Below are 22130 nucleotides of genomic sequence, written 5' to 3'. Positions count from 1 at the left end.
GTTCTATTACACTTTTAAGCTATTTTATAACAATTTTGTTATAATCTGGTTCCTTTTTGTTGAAAGTAACAATGTAATATTTAGAGAGTACTATAATGTAAAGATGCCTTTACATTGCTGTCTGTCTAAGTAGCTACATTTTTAGAAATATGTACTTTACCATAGGATCATGTATTTAGTAAACAGCCATGTTAGATAATGGAGTGTGATTGAAAATAGGATTATTTATAAAGCAAGGTTAAGACTTGTGAAATAAATCAGAGACCAAATTATTACAAATATTTTTTAAAGGAAAGATTGCAGAGCTAAATAGTTGACCTTAGCTGAAAAAAAAAACTTTGGCTTTTTACCCTTTTTAAAATTTAAGTGTAATGCTAGGTATCTTGGAAATTATTTGTTGGCTTAAGTGACATGCAGGACATTTTTGAAAGTATTCTCAAGTAATTTCTTAAAATGAATATGTAGTATTTTAAAAATAATTATTACATTCACTTTAGTGAATCTTAAACGTAGTAATTCCAAATTTAGTTATGGCAAAAATAAAAGTGCTTGTAATTTAATTTAAAACTGTAGTCTCAATGAGAACCACTTTATTACTATGTCTTACAATTTTATACATACACAATTTGTACACATTTTAAACTATAACATTTGACTGGAATTTTCAGGAATGGTGAAATACAGGATATTTTAATAGGATAAAAGTTTTAATCATGATCATTACGTAGTCAAGTTGCTTTGAGTGGTCAAGTGGTAGAATTGAGTGGAATAATTTGCTAGGACCTCCTCTTTTAACTTTAGTTAAACAAGATAAAACATTATTCATCAGGATTCTGTTTGATAATTACATGTTTCCAGAAGTATGAGCTACCTAACCTTGAGTTTTTTTCAAGTGAAAGGAGCAGAATTTATTGGTCTTAACTTTACTACCTAGCTGTGTGACCTTGAACAAGTTTCCTGGTCTCTATAAATCTTCATTTATTAATACAATGAGGCTAATAACACAGAGTGATCATTATATCTGGAAACGTAATGTAGCAATTCCATTCCTTTACATACCCATTTAAATCAAGAGATGTACAAGATGTTCATAAGCACTGTTTCTAAGAGCACAGCTCTAGAAATTACCCATATGGCCATCAATAGGAAAATGTAAAAATATATTGAAAATGAATAGAACATAGCTACACACCAACATGGATTCATTGAAATCCATTGGATTGATTGAAAATGAATTCATTTTCATTGGATTCATTGAAAATGAATATAGCTACACACCAACATGGATGAGCATCAAAAATACAATGTTAATTGAAAAAAGCAAACCATATAATAATATATACATTATGATTTAATTTTTATAAAAATTAAAAATTTGCAACAAATACTGTTGTTCACGATTTCAAACCCATCTGGTAAAACCATAAATAAGAGCAGAGGAATGATTAATCAGAATTCAGGATAGTGGTTGCTTGGGGAGGAGAGTAGGAGACGGGGTACTGGGGTCTTCAAAATATTAGTGATCTACTTCTTTTTAAGCTGTGTTAGTATGTGGGTATTTATTCATTCATTTATTTATTTTGAGGCCATCTCACTCTGTTTCCCAGGCTGGAGTGCAGTGGTATGATCATATCACTGTAGCCGCGATTTCCTGGGCTCAAGTGATCCTCCTGCCTTGGCCACCCAAAGCGCTGGTATTATAGGCATGAACCACTGCACATAGCCTGGTTTTATTTTTTGTTTTAGTTTAAGACATACATATATCTCTGGCCACTCTTTTTTTTTCTTATTCTTCTTTGAGATGTGGTCTCGCTAGGTTGCTGAGGCTGGTCTAGAACGCCTGGGCTTGAATGATCCTCCTGCCTCAGGCTCCCAGGTAGCTGGGACTACAGGCACTGACCACTCATATGTATCCTATTTTATATGAAACATGGTGACTTAGAACTTTATCTTTTATTATTGAACAACAAATTTGAGAGAGAATACAGTCACTCATGACACTAGTACCCTAAAATAACTATTTACATTTTTCAAAATTTCTTTCTTTTTTTTTTTTTTGAAACGGAGTCTTGCTCTGTCGCCAGGCTGGAGTGCAGTGGCGCAATCTTGGCTCACTGCAAGCTCCACTTCCTGGGTTCAAGCAATTCTTCTGCCTCAGCCTCCTGAGTAGCTGGGACTACAGGCACGTGCCACCACACCCAGCTAATTTTTGTATTTTTATTGGAGATGGGTTTTCACCATGTTGGTCAGATGATCTCGATCTCTTGACTTCCTGATCCGCCCGCCTGGCCTCCCAAAGTGCTTGGATTACAGGCATGAGCCACCGTGCTCTGCCAGGTTTTCAAAATTTCAAGGTTAAATTTAAATGACGTCTTGCTATTTGTCTTCAATTTGTCCCATTTGTTCTCTGTTCTCTCTTCTTTTCTTCCTTCTTTTTGATGAATTGAAATTTTTTACAATTCCATTTTATCTCCTTTATTGGCTTATTGACAGTAACTTTATTTTAGTGACTGTTGTAGGGTTTATAGCATACATCCTTTATCATAGTGTATTTTCAAGTGATATTATACCATTTCATGTATAAAAACCTGCCAATAATTTACTTCCATTTCTCCTTTCCTGACCACTTTACTTTTACATGTTATGAGCCCCATACAACATCATCGTTATTTTTGCTTAGTCAATTATTTTTAAAAGAGATTTAGTGAGAAAATATCTTAAATATTCATCAATATGGTTACTATTTTCAGTCTTTTAATTTCTTTTTATAGATCTGTATTTCTAATATAGTATGATTTTTCTTCTGTCTAATGTAGTTCCTTTTTAAAAATGTTTCTTGTGGTTAGGATTGGCTACTGAAAAATTCTCTCAGCTTTTGTATGTGTGGAAAAATGTTTGTTTGAAAGATATTTTCACCGGATATAGAGTTCTAGATTGATAGTTTTTTCTTTCAGTACTTTGAAGATCTTGATCCACTGTTTTTTTTCATTTGCCTTGTTTCTGATTAAAAATCTACTATCATCTTTATCTTTCTGTATTTGTACTTAAGTGTCTGTTTTTCTCTGGCTGCTTTTAACATTTTTCTCTTTATTACTGGTTTTGAGTAATTTCATTATGATGTGCCTTGCAAGTGTAGTCTTTTTTATGTTTCTTGTGCTTGGGGTTCATGGAGCTTCTTGGATCCATAGGTTTATAGTTTTCAATGAATTTGGGGAAATTTTGACCTTGTTTCTTGAAATACTTTTTTCTGTGTGCTCTTCGATTCTTGCGCTGTTTTGGGGATGACAGTTATATGTATTTTGAGCTGATTGAAGTTGTCTCATGGCTCATTGATGCTCTGTTTATTTTTAAAATTATCTTTTCTTTCTAGGTTTCATTTTGTAAAGTTTCTGTTGCTAGGTTTTCAAGGACACCAGTTTTTTATTTTGCAATGTCTAATATGCTATTCATTCTATCCAGTATATTTTTTATTTCACATATTGTTTTTATGTGTAGAAGTTGGATTTGGGTCTTTTAAAAAATATCTTTCATGTCTACTACATTTGTTTAACATGTGGAATACAGTTATAATCATTGTTTTAATATTCTAGTCTCCAGGTTATAACATGTCTGCCAGTCCTGGGTTGGTTTTAGTTAATTTTTATTTCCATTATGGGCCATATTTTTATGCTTCTTTGGAAGTCTGGTAATTTTTTTTATTAAATGTCAGATTGCGAATATTACATTTCTTTTTTTTTTTTTTTAAGATAGGGTTTTGCTCTGTTGCCCAGGCTAGAGCTAGTGGCCAGTGCAGCCTCAACCTCCTAGGCTCAAGCAATCCTCCATCCTCAGCTCTCAAATAGCTGGGACTACAGGTGTGCACCACCATACCTGGCTAATTTCTTGTAGTTTTTTGCAGATACAGGGTTTTGCCATGTTTCCAGGGCTGGTCTCAAACTCTAGGACTCAAACGATCCACCCGTCTCAGCCTCCCAAAGTGCTGGGATTATAGGCCTGAGCCACCATGCCCAGCCTGAATGATTTTTATCTTTCTATAAATAACTTTGAGCTTTATTCTGTGATGCAATTAAATTATTTGAAATTAGTTTAATTCTTTCAAAACTTGCTTTTAAGATTTATTAAATATTAGTCAGGATCTGAGTATTGCTCAGCTACTAGGGGTAATAATTTCCTACTCCTGAGCCAAGACTTTTCTGTGTACTCTACCCAATGACTGTGAATCACAAAGTTTTTCTGTCGGGCTGGTGAGAACAGGCACTATTCCCAGCCCGATATGAGTGCCAAGCACTGTTATCTGTAATCATTTCTAGTTGCTCTTTCTCCAGCCTCATGGTTTGATCATATGCATGTGCTGTGAGTACTCAGCTGAATTCTCAAGCGGAACCCTCTGAAATTCTCTGGAGTTCTCTCTGTATGATTCTCCCTCTCCAGGGAACTAACTACCTTGTCTTCTCCAGTTTTTCAGTTCTGTCTGCTCAACTCAAGTTTGCCGGGCTACTCCTGGTTTCCCCTTCCTTGCACTGTACATTCTCTCACACAAAGACATATGGAAATATGTCTTATGGAACTAAGCTCTAAGACAGCTTTGTATGCCTTCTACGTTGGTTTTTAGTTCCTACTTTTTGGTGAAGAGAAGTGCTCTCTCTTACAAGCTCAGCTATTTTTTTTAGTCTTTTATTTTGAAATAATTTCAAATTTACTGAAGAATTGTAAGAATAGTAAAAAGAACTTCTAAGGCCCCCTCAGTTAGATTTACCTTTTAAACATGTTGTCACATTTGCTTTATCACATGTTCCCACCACACTATCCCCTTGATTTTTTCTGAATCATTCGAGAGTAACTTGCAGACAATGTGTCCTTTTATATTCCTATATTCTTCAGTGAATATATTCCAAGAACAAGGCATTCTTTTGCTTAACCATTATACAGTTAAGAAACTTAACATTGATGTGTACAAGTATCTAATATACTCTCCTGTTGACACGCTGCCAGTTGTCTCAGTAATGTCTCATAATGTTTTTCCCCTCATACAGGATTGTGCATTTAATTTAGATGTCATATCTCTTTAATCTCCTGTAATCTGGAACAGTTTATTGGCCCTCTTTGTCTTTCATGACATTGACATTTCTGAAGAGTATAGGCTAGTTTTTTGGAGACCATCCCTCAATTTGGGTTTGTTTGATGTTTTTTTGTGGTTAAATTCAGGCTTGCATTTTTGGGAGGAAGATTACATAGGTGATGTTGTGGCCTTATCAGAGCATTAAATCAGTATGTCTTATTATTTATGATGTTGATTTTAATCATTTGGTTAAGGTATTCACCAGATTTCTTTACTATAAAATTACTATTTCTTCCCCCTATAATTAATAATCAGTGGGGACATACGTTGAGACTACATTAATATCCTGTTTCTCACCAAACTTTTACTCATAGTTTTAGCACTTATTGATTATTTTTGCCTGAATCAATTATTACTATGGTTGTAAAATGATTTTCAAAGTCTGTCATTTTTTCACCACTTAGTAAATGGCATTCTACTGTAAGTTTGAGTTTTTCCTTCTCATCTGCCTTTGTTTGCTGCTCCTACATATAACAAATACTACAGACTGAGTGATTTATAAAGAATAGAATTTTATTTGGCTCATAGTCCTGGAGGCTTGGAAGTCCAAGAGTGTGGCATTGGCTTCTGGTGAGGGTCATCTCATGGCAGAAGTCACCACATGGCAAGCAAGTGTGAGAGACAGAGAGGAAGGGGGCTGAACATATCAGGAGCCCGCTCCCACAATAATTAACCCATTCTCCTGATAGCAACATTAACCAGTTTATGAGGACAGAACCCTCATGACCTAATCACCTCTTAAAGTCCCCACCTTTTAATACTATTACAATAGCATCAAATTTCAACATGAGATTTGGTGTAGACATCCAAACTAGCATTATCTATCTTGTCTGTCTGTCTGTCTGTCTATCTGTGTATCTACCTACCTGCCTACCTACCTATCTAATCTATCTACTCCATTTGGATTCATGACTTCTCATTTTATTCAGTGGATTGCATCAGTACGAAAGGCTTTGTTTTTCTTTAAGTGATTGTTGATGATTTTTTCTTTTTCTTTTTCTTTTTGTTTGAGATGGAGTCTAGCTCTGTTGCCCAGGCTGGAGTGCAATGGAGTGATGTTGACTCACCACAACCTCTGCCTCCTGGGTTCAAGTGATTCTCCTGCCTCAGCCTCCTGAGTAGCTGGGACTACAGGTGTGTGCCACCACACCCAGCTATGTTTTGTACTTTTAGTAGAGATAGAGTTTCACCATGTTGGCCAGGCTGGTCTCAAACTCCTGACCTCCAGTGATCCACCCACCTTGGCCTCCCGAAGTGCTGTGATTACAGGCATGAACCACTGTGCCCAACCAGTTGATGACTTTTTTCTAATTTGGCATGACTTAATAAGAGGAAATGAGCTAAACATCAAGACAGATGATCTTTGATTTAGCATCTTTTATTTAACACTTATTTACTGGCCTCCAGACTGTGTGAGGTGCCCATTCCTAGTCCATTCAGGTTTATGTGTGGGGCACTGTTGGAGAAGACTTATGTTTAGAGCACACATGATCTTCTATTTAGCACTTTTAGTGAAAAGTGATATAAGATGCCCTTTCAATTATTTTCTGGAGAACGTAAGGAACAGAGACCACCTCAGATGCTTTGTCATAGGATGCTATAGTGTAAGGATATGCATGATAATAAGAGACAAATCTTGGCCACTTAGGAAGACCTCAGGGGAACCCAGGGAAAGCCAAACTGTGAGATTCCAATCCTATTCTCTCCTCTCCTAAATAGGAACAAATAGGGCCATTATTTGAGCCTCATTAAGAATAAGTGAATCTCATGGAGAATAGAATCGATAGGCCATTCTAGAATCTCAAAATGTTATGGGTTCTGTGTTACCTGTCCTAGCTTCGGCAGTCCACAGATCTTAATTCTAGTGTTTTATCAATAACCTAACTTAATTTTTAAAATCTTTCTGCTTTTCTTCTTGCTCTTAATTATCTGGGTGTCCATAGTTCCTTAGAGAGACAGAGGTAGATTGGCCTGGGAGTTCATCGCTGCTGTTGTTTTGGCAGAGCTTCCCCTCCTAAGTTTCCCGTTTTACTTACCAACCTCCAGGCTATGTCAGGTGCCCATTCCCAGTCCACTCAGGTGAGGGCACAGTTGGAGAGGAATCATGATGTTTAGAACACATATTTCTTTTCATGGAATATCTTGTGGCTCCCCTTGTGGTAGGGTTGGTGGAAAGTGCAGTTTTCATAAGTTGCTACTATAGATATAATTGGCAATATGGATTTGCATCCTGTTCTTCATCCTAAAGACAGAGTCCTACTCAGAGCTGTGCGCTGTCTGTAGGTAATATAAGCTAAGTGGTTTACTTTTTGAGTTATTTTCGGGATACTAATATGGTGAGATTTATTTAAATTTATTTTAAATAATGATAATGCTGAAAATTGGTATAAAACTGGGACAAGGATTTCCAGTAATTTGATACCTTGTATTATTCACTAAAATTGTTATGAAACCATGACTGTTAATTGAGTCTGCCTTATTAATTTGGCCTGATTAAGAGATATAAATATAACACAGTGTATTTTTTTAACTTTTCTGTTATTACCGCATCATTTAGTATTTCCTTAAAAGAGCTATTCAGTATTTCTGTGAACATCTGTGTAGATTGTTTGCAGTTAACATTTTCCTGAAGCCAAAACTAGACTTCCCACAATGTATAATTTACCTTTGAAGATTTCCTGTGTTGGGTATCACTTGTTCATGTGTTCTTGTTATTTAATATGAATGAAATATTAATAACTAATTGTTTAAAGTGCAGTATTTAAGTTAATTCCATGTATAATTAAAAAATTTAAATACATTAACATTTCACAACATAGTCTATGATTGGGATTAGGACTGTTTGTGTTTGCTGTTCAAATATTCAGTATAATATTTGATATTTGGATAAACTGCTATTTTTCATATCAAGTATATTTGTTTAAAATTTTAGAGGGGATATACCAGGGAGCTTGGAAAATTTGTATTTGACATAAAATTATTTGATTATTTTCAGATATTAAAAATGTAGAACAGTTTTTGGCAATCTCACAGGCTTACATGACTATTAGATTTTGCAGGTTTGCATCCTTTAATGATATGTTACTTTTTCTGTCTACATAAAATATTTAATTTCTGGGTCATGCTTGAAATGGGATAAAGGAAGGGAAAAATGAGATGAGATGCCTTTTCACTTCTTTTCTAGAGAACATAAAGCTGCTTCATTTCCATTCAGCAAACTCCCCCAAACAATAAACTTTATTTAGAGGAAACATATCTTTAATTTAAGGTACAATACTTTCCATGTACATTGTGTGAATTGTTAAGGGTGTTGACAGTTAAAAAGCTGTCTGACTGAACCAATTATTTACAACAAGCCCAGGCCAGCCAGAACTACTTTGGGAAGGGATATAGACTTACTAATATAAGGCAAGATTACTCTAGAGACATGAAGTCTGGGTTTTGGCTTCAGGAAATATCACTTTGGAAATTACACTTTAGGTCAGATTAAATATAAAAAGTTGAAATATGCATCTAAAATGAATTAAGTTACCATATTGACTAGAACTTCTTGATTGCAAAGGGATCTTTAAAAAGCATTTTTATTACTGTTATTTGAAATTACATTCAGAATGTTTGAAACTGCATCGTGGAACTACCTTATAGTGAAGACTTCAAAAGAACATGGTCTTTTCTGGCTATGAAAATCTGATTTTATTATTAAGTTGCCTGTGAGAAACCTGTTAATGATGGATATTTATATATCATTTATGATATAATTAGAAGTATATATTTGGTCTCTGCCCCTGGTTCCTGGCACACAACAACCCAAACCCTTGGAATCTCTAAAGTGATAAGTGTTTTTTGTATGCTAGTGAGATGACTGGTAGCTGGAGAGTCCTGGATAGCCTCAGGATTGGGGGGCTGGTTGCCAGAGGAGCCAACTGTGATTAGAGGGTTGGCTCTTTCAGCTGAACCCCACAACCTCTAGAAGCTGAAGGTTGGATAGATTCTCTCATGACTATTGATCTAATCAATCATGCCTACATAAAGAAACCTCCATAAAACCCCAAAAGGACAGGGTTCAGAGAGCTTCTGGATAGTTGAACAGCTGGCGGTGCCTGCAGAGTGGCATGCCCAAAGAGGACATGGCACTCTGTGCCCCTTCCCACATGCCTTGCCTTATGCATTTCTTCCATCTGGCTGTTCATCTGTATCCTTTGTAGTAACCTTTATAATAAATGGATAGGTATAAGTAAAGTGTTTCTCTGAGTTCTGGGAGCCACACTAGCAAATTAATTGAACCCAAAAAGGGGTTCATGGGAACCCTGATATATAGCCAGTTGGTCAGATGCGCAGGTCACAACATGGGGTTTGTGATTGACATCAGAAGTGGGGGGTGGGGGACAGTCTTGTGGGACTGAGTCGTTACCTGTGGGATCCGATGTTATCTCTAGGTAGATAATGTCAGAATTGACTTAAATTATAGGACAACGCATTTGGTATCTGCTAGAGGATTGCTTATAGTGTGCAGAGAAATGCACGTACATCTGGTATGAGAAATGTGTTGAGTGGTGTGTGAGGGTAGGAAAAACACTTTGGTTTGTCCTGTCTCTATACTGTGTCTAATTGAAAAAATAAAATTACTTAACTGTGTGCCTGTAAAAAGGAAATAAACTCTTAATGCCAAATTATGAATTGTGCTTTCATTGTATTAAAATAGTTTACAACTAGATGAAGAGTTAAAATGCCAGAGTTAGTCTAGGATTCATGTTATTTACTGGATTCATATTCTAAATAATATAAATTATCTCCCATTTAAATATTGGCACAGTTATTTTCTATATTGTCTATTATATACATACGCACACATGTGTTTGTATATGCTGAATGCTGTATACTTTATATGTGTCTCTATATCATATAGTAAATAAGACATTTTTAGTAGTATACAGTATACTGTATAGTAAATAAGATATATTTAGTAGTATACAGTATATATACTGTATAGTAAATACCTTTGGTAGTATACCGTATATATACTATAGTAAATAAGAGATCTTTAGTTATATAGTATATATACTGTATATACTATATATACAGTGTATATACTGTATATACTATATATACAGTGTATATACTGTATATACTATATATACACTGTATATACTGCATATATACTGTATATACAGTGTATACACTGTATATACACTGTATACAGTGTATATACTGTATATATACTGTATATACCGTGTATATACTGTATATACTGTATATACTGTATATACCATATACAGTATATACCATATATACTGTGTATATATGTACATACTATATATATACATACTATATATGTGTATATAATATGTATTATGTATAGAGAGACATACTATCTATAGTAGAGAACAATACATTTCTAGACTATTTCTATTATGTAACATAGAGAAATAATCATTGTATTGATCCCAAGTCTGTTTTGTTATGGTAGTTGTCCCCTAGGCAGCCCTCCTTTGCCATGTTTTTCAAGGTTGCATTACAGAATTACTGATGACAGATATGTATGTTGTCTTTCTATTTTAACCCTCTACCAAGCAGACCATTTTTAAAGGATAAGGTTAAAAAGTGAATATGATCATGATTCTCAAAAAAATATAAAATGATAATTTGTCAAAGATTATATTTAACTCAATAATGATATTATGCCAGTTGAAGTACCACGTATTGAATGCAAAACTGGCAAAACTGATGAATATCCACTGAGAAATAATCAGTTCCATTTTACAGGACATAATTTGCATTTCTATGGACAGGAATTATTTGTATTATTATCAGTTTTCTACAACTTTTCTCTCTACTGAGTTGTAGCATGGCCTAGTCAATGACAGACAAATGGACAAGCTAGCCAAAACACTCACTGAATTTCAGTCTTTTACATTTTTTTTTCTTATTGTTCAATACTGGTACCCCTGGTACTTCATATTAGCTTGATTTTAGTAGCTTCAGTAGAGTAATTGATTCATGTCTACCCATGTTTTTAAGTTATTCATGTCTACCCAAGATGGAAATTCTGTGAGGGTAGGCACCTTAAAATAAAATGCATGAATCTATAAATGAATAAAATGATGTTCTTGGTATAAAAGCACAAATTGATTGGTTAAAAACTGTGTCCTGATTCAGAAAGTAGAAGAAAATAGGGATTTTCTAAATCTAATCTTATTTCAGTTGCTATCGGGGGAAATTCAGCCAGATATCGGGTAAAATTCACCCCCGATATTTCACGTAGGTTCTTTTCTATCTTCCCTAAGTGTCGGCCAGTCTGAGAAATAAAGGGACAGAGTACAAAAGAGAGAAATGTTAAAGCTGGGTGTCCGGGGGAGACATCACATGTCGGCAGCTTCCGTGATGCCCCCTGAGCTGTAAAACCAGCAGGTTTTTATTAGTGATTTTCAAAAGGGGAGGGAGTGTATGAATAGGGTGTGGGTCACAGACATCACGTGCTGCACAAGGTAATAGAATATCACAAGGCAAATGGAGGCAGGGTAAGATCACAGGACCAGGGTGAAATTAAAATTGCTAATGAAGTTTCGGGCACACATTGTCATTGATAACATCTTATCAGGAGACAGGGTTTAAGAGCAGACAACCAGTCTGACCAAAATTTATTAGGCAGGAATTTCCTCGTCCTAATAAGCCTGGGAGTGCTACGGGAGACTGGGGCTTATTTTATCCCTACTGCTTCTACCATAAAAGACGGCTGCCCCCTGAAGCGGCCATTTTAGAGGCCTACCCTCAGGGACGCATTCTCTTTCTCAGGGATGTTCCTTGCTGAGAAAAAGAATTCAGCGGTATTTCTCCCATTTGCTTTTGAAAGAAGAGGAATATGGCTCTGTTCCATCTGGCTCACTGGCGGTCAGAGTTTAAGGTTATCTCTCTTGTTCCCTGAACATTGCTGTTATCCTGTTCTTTTTTCAAGGTGCCCAGATTTCATATTGTTCAAACACACATGCTCTACAAACAATTTGTGCAGTTAACGCAATCATCACAGGGTCCTGAGGCGGCATACATCCTCCTCAGCTTACGAAGATGATGGAATTAAGAGATTAAAGTAAAAACGGGCATAGGAAATCACAAGGGTATTGATTGGGGAAGTGATAAGTGTCCATGAAATCTTCACAATTTATGGTCAGAGATTGCAGTAAAGACAGGCATAAGAAATTATTAAAGTATTAATTTGGGGAACTAATAAATGTCCATGAAATCTTCACAATCCACATTCTTCTGCCATGGCTTCAGCCGGTCCCTCCGTTCAGGGCCCCTGACTTCCCACAACAAGTTGCAATGAGGGAGCCAGTTATATAAAGGAATCCAGCAACGAATCCTTTTTTTTTTTTTTTTTTTGAGGCAGGTCTTGCTCTGTTGCTCAGGCTAAAGTTCAGTGGCATGATCATGGCTCACTGCAGCCTCTACTTCCTGGGCTCAAGTGATCCTGGTCTCAGTCTCTTGAGTAGCTAGGAGTACAGGCACATGCCACCAGCCAATTAAAAAATTATTTTTTTTAAGAGACAGGGTCTTGCTATTTTGCCTGGGCTGCTCTCAGACTCTTGGCCCCAGTCAGTCCTCCTGCCTTGGCCTCCAAAAGTGCTGGGATTATAGGTGTGAGCCACTATGCCTGGCCAATGAATACTTTTGAAGAGCAGAAATCCTCTTCTAACTAAAGTTATTTCTTGCCTTATGTGTTTTAAAAATGAGAACTTTGTATATCAGATTTTAAGTTGGGCATAACTTTTCACTCCAAAATAATTAGAAGCATTGAACCAAGGAAAAAACAAGCATGACAAGTTATTTTTACAAATTTCTCATATTGCATGATTTTGCCCTCTTTACTCTCTTGCTAGTGATTTATGCTGTCCAACTTTTTTTTTTTTTTTTTTTTTTTTTGAGACAGAGTCTCACTCTGTCACCCAGCTGGAGTACAGTGGTGCAATCTGGGCTCACTGCAACCTCCACCTCCCAGGTTCAAGCGATTCTCCTGCCTCAGCCTCCTGAGTAGCTGGGATTACAGGCGCCCGCCACCATGCCTGGCTAATTTTTGTATTTTTAGTAGAGATGGGGTTTTGCCATGTTGACCAGGCTGGTCTCAAGCTCCTGACCTCAGGTGATCCGCCCACCTTGGCCTCCCAAAGTCCTGGGATTATAGGCATGAGCCACCATGCCCCGCCTACTGTCCAATTTATAATTAATAACAACATATTAGAAATAACTTACAGCTGGATACCCTTTTTATCTGGGGCAAATACTACACATGATAAGGTAGTTTCTACCTATCTACTCCTGGCAGTTAGACTGAGCCAATCAGATAGTTCTGCCCAGAGAGCTTACTCTTAAGGAAACAATTGGTGTTAGATTAGTTAGATTAGATGAAGTAGCTGTGGAATAGTTGTGAGTCTAGCAGTATGGTGGTAGGGAGTGAGGAAAAGTATTCAGTGGGTTAAGGGATATGGGACTGGAATACACGATATGGGATTTTTGCCATTCCTTGCCTCCTTTGGTTTCCTCTGGAGCCTGATTATCTATACGTCCACTGCTTCTGTGATTTGCCTGATTTCTTTGCAGTAATTTTCCTTTCTGTTAAAGTTTACTGGAGTTGGTTTCTGTTGTTTTAAACAAAGCGAGAAGAAGAAAAAACCAAGTACATGATTATGTGTCTGGGCAGATGATCATTATCAAGTTTACATGGGAGAGAGTAAAATATATATAAAATATATGTGGGAAAAATAGAAACAGTGCTGAAATAATTAGGTTGCTGAATTATAACCCAGTAGACTACATGAATTAATTTATGGTATGATACGAATAACTATGAATATATCATGTTGAAGCATTGTAGTTCATCTTTCACCTGATGGTCTTGTGTCCAAGAATGTTTGAATATTTAAAACTTTTCTGGCATCTTAAAATACGAGCCACTTCTAGTAATGGTGGAGTAGGTCATATTGAACTAATCCTTTTACAGAAAACCATGATAAATTCTGGACAAAATACAGAAAACCCACAACTCTCTGAAGGCACTGGAGAGTGACCATAGCAGGCATAAACTGAAAGGAAGTCTATACTTGGAAAGAGGGAGTATCACCGAATAAACAAAAATGAGGTTTTGTTGCCAGCAGACCTTCACTGCAAGAAATGCTAAAGGAAATTCTTCAGGCTGAAAGGAAATGATACCAGATGGAAACTTGGATCTGAGGAATGGAGAACTCCAGAAATGGTAAGTATATGGGTAAATATATTTATTTCTCTCAATTAAAAAAATGACTAAGTTTAAAAATTATAACATTCTTCTGTGAGGTTTGTGGCATATGTAAATATAGTACACTGATTTATTTTACACATGAGGAAAGTGACACATGGTAATGTTAAATAATTTACCCTGACCAGGCGCGGTGGCTTATGCCTGTAATCCCAGCACTTTGGGAGGCCGAGGCAGGCGAATCACGAGGTCAGGAGATCGAGACCATACTGGCTAACACGGTGAAACCCTGTCTCTACTGAAAAAAAAAAATACCAAAAATTAGCTGGACCTAGTGGCACGCACCTGTAGTCCCAGCTGTTCAGGAGGCTGAGGCAGGAGAATTGCTTGAACCAAGAGGCGGAGGTTGCAGTGAGCTGAGATCGTGCCACTGCACTCCAGCCTGGGTGACAGAATGAGACTCCACCTCAAAAAAAAAAGAAAAAAAAAATTTACCCAAAGTTTCATAAAGTGTAAGTGGCAGAGCAAGGATTTGAACACAGTGTGTCTAACTTCAGAGTTTATGCTCCAAGCTACTATATTATACCACCTCAGAAAATGAAAACTGAATTAAACTTCATGACTAGCATATGGCAAATAAAATACAATATATGAATAAACTAAATTAAAGTATTTGTCAAAAATATGAAATATGAGAAACATTTAATTCCCATCTCTAGTGTACTTGGCATTCTGTTTTTCCTACATATAATATATACACTTCAATTTCTCCCCTGTAAACATGATAATGATCATCTACCTAGATGTATCCCTGTGGTTAATCCCTAGGGCAGGTAATACCTATCCCAAGTTCATCATCCCTTGGCTTTATTTTGTCACTTAGCCCTTCCTTTGCTCTCACAACCCCTATTTTAATATGTTTGACTGGAAAACAAGAGCCAACAGCCTAGAGTAGGAAAGCTAAGGGAAAAGTTGATGAGGTGAAGGTTAAGGGGAGGATAGAAAAATCAGGCTATTCTTTGGTGGGGAAGGACATAAACATCCATCAAGTTCATAAAAATTCTCTGCGTTTTGTCCAGTTTGAGAATGCATGATAATACATATGTTTTCAGACCTTTTTTAAGTAGCAAAGAACCCTTTTTCCAAGTTAAATATTTCATTTTATTGCAGTGTATAAAACAAATATATTGTTTACACGGGTGTTTTTGTACTTTTACATTTATAAATATTTGCATCAAGTTAATGGGATTAGCCATTTTTTGAAAAAGGCCAAATTTGAAAATGAGAGTTGTGGATGTCAGTTGTGATTTTAGTCTCAGCACCCAGTTATTTCTGTAGTTTTAGTGAATAAGTATTGAGATAAGTGGTGAAAATGGCCCTACTAACAGAAGCAGGGAGCCAGTCATTCAACCACATCCTTAACCCCTTTTCTTGAGCTGTCTTTTGTGATTTTAACTATATATAGGTACTCAGGGTTCAAAGCATATGAGAGAGTCTGAAGGTGTTTTAAAACTACCCATTGGGGTACTTTCAATGCTATATATAGTCAGATAGTCCTTTCTGAGGGCTTCTAAGTAAACTGAAAATATGCTTGCTAGCCCCATCTACCAGGATACAGCAAATTTCATGTAGGTGGGGAATTTGGGGGGAAATAGTTATCAACACAGTGTTAACTGGCTACTTGATTCTGCATGTCAGTGGTAGCTCTGACCCACTGAGCCCTTGCCCACGTGAGTTAGCAAATGTTTGTGAGGAAATTGAGTACAGGCTCCCAGCACTAAAGCTATAGAAGGAAGAAAGCCAGGTGTTCAATATCAGGTAGGATAGTGCTTGTAATCTTTGGACCTTCCCGTCTTTTTTTTGAATGACATTGCTTCCTTGGGCTTTCCCATTTTGCTGGATCTTTCTTTTTTGCATTGGTGACATAGTATAGCTTTAGCTAGATATATGTGAAACAACACATAACATATATAAGGCCAAAGGAAAAAAAAATACATGTATCTGCTCTCCAGCTTAAGAAATAGAACATTAACAGTGCTTTTGAATCACCTACAGATCCCTTCCCAATTGCATTCTTCTTTTTCCTCACCAGTGATAACCATTGTCTCAAGTTTTTAGTTAATTATTCTCTTGGTTTTCTTCATAGACTTTTCATTTGTATTCTAAATAGAAGGTTTCATTTTGATCATTTTTGAATTTTATAGAAATTAGCGTTTTTCTGCAGCTTGTTTCTTTGTTCAACATTGTTTTTGAGAGTCATCTATGTTGTTTTCTACCTTATACTTTATTTGTTCTCCATTTTCCATTTAATGATATTTAGGTTGTTTCCAGTTTTTAACTATTTCTAACATTGGTACTATGAAAAATAAAGTAGAGATTCCTCTTCAAAGACTTTCCTCCCCATTTAATTAGGAATAAATAGTAACTTCTCTTAGAAGCAAAATTTGTTCAAAGACCTGTGCTAACATTCTTAAATATCTGCTAGCCGTGATAAAGAAATCAGTGTACTTTATGTTGTTAGCTCTCACAATTTAGCCTAAATATTTGCCCTGGCATGCTTATACTGGTCCAAGCAAGCATTAAGTCATAGCCTGTTTCTCTTCCTTATTTGAAGGTGTTTTTACCTTTCTTAGCATTCCACAAGTTACTTCCTCCTTCCTTTGTTCTCCTCTGCCTTTGCCTCTTTTAACAAGTTCTAAGTTGCTAGCCAGTCGGGACAAATACAAAATGTGAGGTCCCATTCCAGCCAATGGAAACTGGACACAGCAGTAGGGTGGACGCATCAGGTTATAAATGACCCTGTCTCCTTTGTTTGGTGTACTCTCGTGGCAAAACTGCTGGTGAGTGTACCCTTTCTGCAGGAAGTAAAAATGGCCTTGCTGAGTAAATTAAATTTATGTTCAAGTGCTATTTCTTTACGGCAGTGGGAAACAAGCGTTTCAAATAGTACTATGTGCACTTTTATAAATATCTCCCATTACAAATGAGAGGCTGTTGTGGAATTTTTAGAGCTCTTTAGAGAGAGAGGTTTTTTTTTGTTTTTTTTTTTAGGAATTTATTCAGCATTTATAGTCAGAGACTTCTTCCTTCTTTCTAACCTAAAGTAGTTATATTACTCTTAAACTTGTTTCCTTTTATTCTAGAAGGCATAGTAGTTGAACTAGATTGCTTGGGTTAAAAATTCCCAGCTCTCTCATGTTTGTTTAGTCTAGGGCAAGCTAATTAATCTCTCTGACCTTGTGCCTTCACCTGCAAACAACCTCATATGGCTGTCATAAGGATCATTGAATTAATATATGTAAGTGCCTGAAACATGGCAAACTTTCAGTAAATGTTAGCTCTTATTATTCTTAATCTACCCATAATGGAAGTGGAAAAAGCTGTCATTATTTTTTATGGGATACCCATTTGTACACTTAAATTCAGTACTCCTCAACCCTATTCTAAATTCAAAGACATACTTATTGGATTTTAATTCAAATTATATCAAAATGAGGTATATAAAAAATTATTTATTCAATGAGTTTAATATCTACTGGATGCCTGGCATCGTGAAAGGCACTGGCCAAACAATGGTCAACTAAATTGACATGGTTTCTGCCCTTAAGAAACATCAGAGTCTAACAGAGAATAAAGATCAAAAAAAATACACAAATATCGAATTTCAAACTGTTATTAGTGCTATGAAAATAAAGAATATGGGCTATGAAGGGGAAAAAAACAAGGGATGTCTACTTTAGAGGGAAGGATTGGGGAACGCCTCTTTTAGCAACTGATATTTAAACTGTAACTGTAGCTAAGTAGGGGGAAAAGTGCTTCTTACAGAGGGATCAGCATGTGTCCAGCTCCTCAGGTGGGAGAGAGCCTGGCGTATTGGGGGCTCAAGAGAAGCTAGAGAGGCTAGAGCTTAGTGAACAAAGTGGGAGCTGCATGAAGTTAAGTTGAGAGTGTGATATAATGGGAAATGAAATATATACTTGGTCTTTGTTCTTGGTTTTTAGCACATAGCTTCTAAAACCCTTGCAATCTCTGCAGTTGATAAGAATGTCTTTTGTATGCTAAGATGACTGGTGGCTGGGGGTCCCTAGATAGTTTTGGAATGGGGGCTGGTAGCCAGAAAGACCAAGGGAAGGATAGGGTTTGAATTTTCAGCCCCACTCCCTGACCTCTAGGGGAGGGGAGAGGGGCTAGAGGTTGAGTTCAGTCAGCAATGTCCAGAGATTTAATTATTCACGCCTATTAATGAAACCTTTAACGCCACTAAATAACAGAGTTCAGAGCTTCTGGGTTGGTGAACACATTGCAGTGCTGGGAGGGTGGCAAGCCAGTAGAAGGCATAGAAGCCCTGTCCTAACCTTTCTCCCCACAACCACACCACCCCCGACCTCAACTCCACCCGACCCCTGCTGCCATTTGCCCTGTGCATCTCTTGCATTTGGCTGTTGCTAAGTTGTATTCTTTATGATAAACTGGTAACAGTAAGTAAGGTTCCTTTCTGAGTTCTATGAGCCATTCTAGCAAATTACAGAACCTGAGGAGGGGGTCGTGGGAACCCTTGAATATATAGCTAGTCAGTCATAAGTATCAGCAACAACATGGGACTTGCAACCAATATCTGAAGTGAGGACAGTCTTGTGGGACTGAGCTCTTAAACCTGTAGAGTCTGTTGCTAATTCTGGATATTGTCAGGATTGAACTGAATTGTAAGACATCCAGTTGGTGTCCAGAGAATTGGAGAATTGCTTGGTGTGGACAACCTCCACACATTTGGTGTCAGAAGTGTGAACCCAGAAAATCTGAGACAGGTCTCAGTTAATTTAGGAAGTTTATTTTGCCAAGGTTGAGGACGCGCCTGTGACACAGCTTCAGGAAGTCCTGACAACATGTGCCCAAAGTGGTCACAGCACAGCTTAGTTTTACACATTTAGGGAGACATGAGACATCAATCAATACAAGAAAGAAGTACATTGGCTCAGTCTGGAAAGGCAGGACAACTTGAAGCAAAGGCAGGACGACTAGAAGTGGGGAGAGCTTCCAGGTCACAGATAGGTGAGACACAAATGGTTACATTCTTTTGAGTTTCTAATTAGCTTTTCCAAAGGACGCAAATCAGATATCCATCTATCTCAGTGAGCAGAGGAGTGACTTTGAATTGAATGAGAGGCAGGTTTGCCCTAAGCAGCTTCCAGCTTGAGTTTTCTTTGGTGATTTTGGGGGACCAAGATATTTTCTTTTCACAGACGTATAAAAACAGATCAGAGTGGTACATTCAAGGTCCTGCAAACCAAGTAAAGGGAAATGGATGGGAATTCTCGGAGAATTTGAGGTTGGAGAAGAGAAGGATCCATTTTATATCTTAAAGGATCTGTCTGTAGCATAGAGAAAGTACTGAGTATAGATGAGTTAGGAGACTGTAATAGATTGTTGAGGTAGAAGATGATGGTGGCAGTGGATATAAAACTAGACATTCAGAAATATTTAGGATATAGAATAGACAGGACTGGGCGATGGCTATATATGTACCTGCAGATGGTGAGAGAGAGGGAGATGTCAAGGATAAGAGTTTTGACTAATCAATCTCCTTTGCAAAGTTTTAAATTGTGTTTGTGGTTTTTTATTCAACCTGCTCAGGTTTACAACTTTTCTCTTTAGTTATATAACCTATAATATAATTCAGTATTTTTTCAAAAATAGAGGCTTAACTAATGTGGGATTCCAGGTTATATATGGTGATTTCCTGCTTGCTTTTTAAGATTATCTATCAATATAGTAATTTATTCATTAATTCCTTGAGAATTTACATTTAGCAAGGCATTGGTAAGATACAATGATTCAGAAGTGAATTGAATGAAAGCACAATGCTCAACCACTGACACCTTATTTTTCTCAGTGACTCCTTGATGTTTTATTATACTATAATTCATATCCTATAGAGTTTAAATATTTCTTTAATTTTCTAAGGTTATTTAAAATACATACCTGTGTATTTTCAAGGTGTATATCTCCAGCTTATATTCTGTTGGTTCTGACCAACAGTCATCCATACATTTATTCAAACTCGTATTGAAGCGAATTGAATTTTCAGTCTATGTATTCATAACAAATTCATAAGTTTTATAAAAAATAACGCATTACTTTTTTTGGTCTTAAAACAATATCCTGCAAGCTTTGAAGGTTGAAAATTTTAAGTCTAATAATCTGGGATTTGATAATCATTCTGTGTTCAGCCTTTTCATGACCTTAATGCTTTAGGATAAATCTTGTTTTGCTTTCATCATTCTGGACAGTAGTCTGATCTTTTTAAAAAGTGCAGTTTTGGCCAGGTGCCATGACTCACGCCTGTAATCCCAGCACCTTTGGAGGCCAAGGCGGCAGATCATGAGGTCAGGAGATCAAGACTATCCTGGCTAATATGGTGAAACACCATCTCTACTAAAAATACAAAAAATTAGCCAGGTATGGTGGCACGCGCCTGTAATACTGACAACTCGGGAGGCTGAGGCAGTAGAATTGCTTGAACCTGGGAGGTGGAGGTTGCAGTGAGCCAAGATCGTGCCACTGCACTCCAACCTGGGCGACAGAGCAAGACTCTGTCTCAAAAAAAAAAAAAAAAAGGTGCAGTTTTAAGCTTTAGTAACATCACAAGTATAAATACTATAGATTTAGAAAGAACATCATTTGAAACTTTAATTATTTACATTTGTTTTATAGTCATTTATCTTTGTTAATTTTGAATAACGAAATTTTAACTTTGATTTTTCATTTCAGTTGATTGAAGATCAGCAAACATTGAAAAAAAGTTAATTGTGCTATCTGGTTAGCCGAACTCAAACTCACGATGACAGAAACAAGAAAACTCACTTCCTGTCGTAAGAAGGAGGTTCCCCACAGACATTGAATTAACAACTGGATGAAAACTTCAAGGAAACTGGGTCCATAGTTCACAACAAGCCTAGATCTGGGAGATGCCAGCAAGCAGAAAAACTGTGGCTGAAATTGAGGCAGTGTTAGCAGAGTCCCAAAAGCATGCACTGCACATTTGCTGAATTGAATATTCCAAAACCACAGGTTACAGAATTCTAACAGTGAAATTCCGAAGCATACCTAAATGTATAAATGCTACAAGTTAACCAGGCTGAACTTGGCTTCTGTCATCTAATGAAATGAGAAAATGAAATTTCCAAAAATATTCTTGACAAGTTGACCCTTATAATGAAGCACCTTTCCACCTAAGTGACAGTGTTTTCTGTCAAAAGTACTTCGTTTTATGTACAGAGAAGCCACCAAAGTTTAGCAACATGAGAATCCCCAAAAGTTAATGTTTGGTGGGCCATTAAGGAATCTTGCATTACCAGCCCTCCATTTTTATTGTGATATAATTCATATACCCTAAAACTCACCCTTTTAAAGTGTACAATTTAATAGTTTTTAGTATACTCAAAAGTTTGCCACCATCGCCACTGTCTTAGCCCATTTTCTGTTGCTAGAACAGAATACCTGAGAGTGGGTAGTTTATAAAGTGAAGAAATTTATCTCTTACAGTTCTGGAGGCTGACAAGCCCAATTTCAAGGGGCTGCATGAAGGATGAAGTCCTTCTTGCTGTGTGGTAGAAGGCATCATATGGTGAGAAACAGGGAGTGTGTTTTCTTTCTCTTTTTTAAGGCCACAGTCCTTTTGCACTAGGGATCTACCCTTATGACCTCAATTTAACCTGAATTGCCTCCTAAGAACCTATCTTAAGGGATACATTGAAACCATAGCAACCACTATCTAATTGAGAACAT

At 36.8% G+C, this 22130-nt stretch overlaps 1 protein-coding gene across 20 annotated transcripts in view; it reads left to right on the top strand.

Annotated features, from left to right (window-relative positions):
* The window catches only part of WDPCP (WD repeat containing planar cell polarity effector), a 721268-nt gene that overhangs the window by 255089 nt on the left and 444049 nt on the right, over positions 1–22130 (top strand). For 8 of the 20 annotated variants that reach the window (NR_148704.2, XM_047444629.1, XM_047444631.1 and 5 more), the window contains one exon: positions 14112–14363. The exons of the other annotated variants lie outside the window; for them this stretch is intronic. Coding sequence is in view for 7 of the 8 variants with exons in the window: in XM_047444629.1 (XP_047300585.1) it covers positions 14361–14363 (3 nt within the window). In the remaining variant the exon portion in view is untranslated. The remainder of the gene's footprint in view (positions 1–14111; positions 14364–22130) is intronic. 20 annotated transcript variants of the gene reach the window in all.

The sequence above is a fragment of the Homo sapiens genome, chromosome 2 (genome assembly GCF_000001405.40).
Source record: "Homo sapiens chromosome 2, GRCh38.p14 Primary Assembly".
In the NCBI taxonomy this organism is placed as follows: Eukaryota; Metazoa; Chordata; class Mammalia; order Primates; family Hominidae; genus Homo; species Homo sapiens.
The sequence above is the reverse complement of the archived record's forward strand: the minus strand, read 5'-3'. Positions and strand labels throughout refer to the sequence as shown.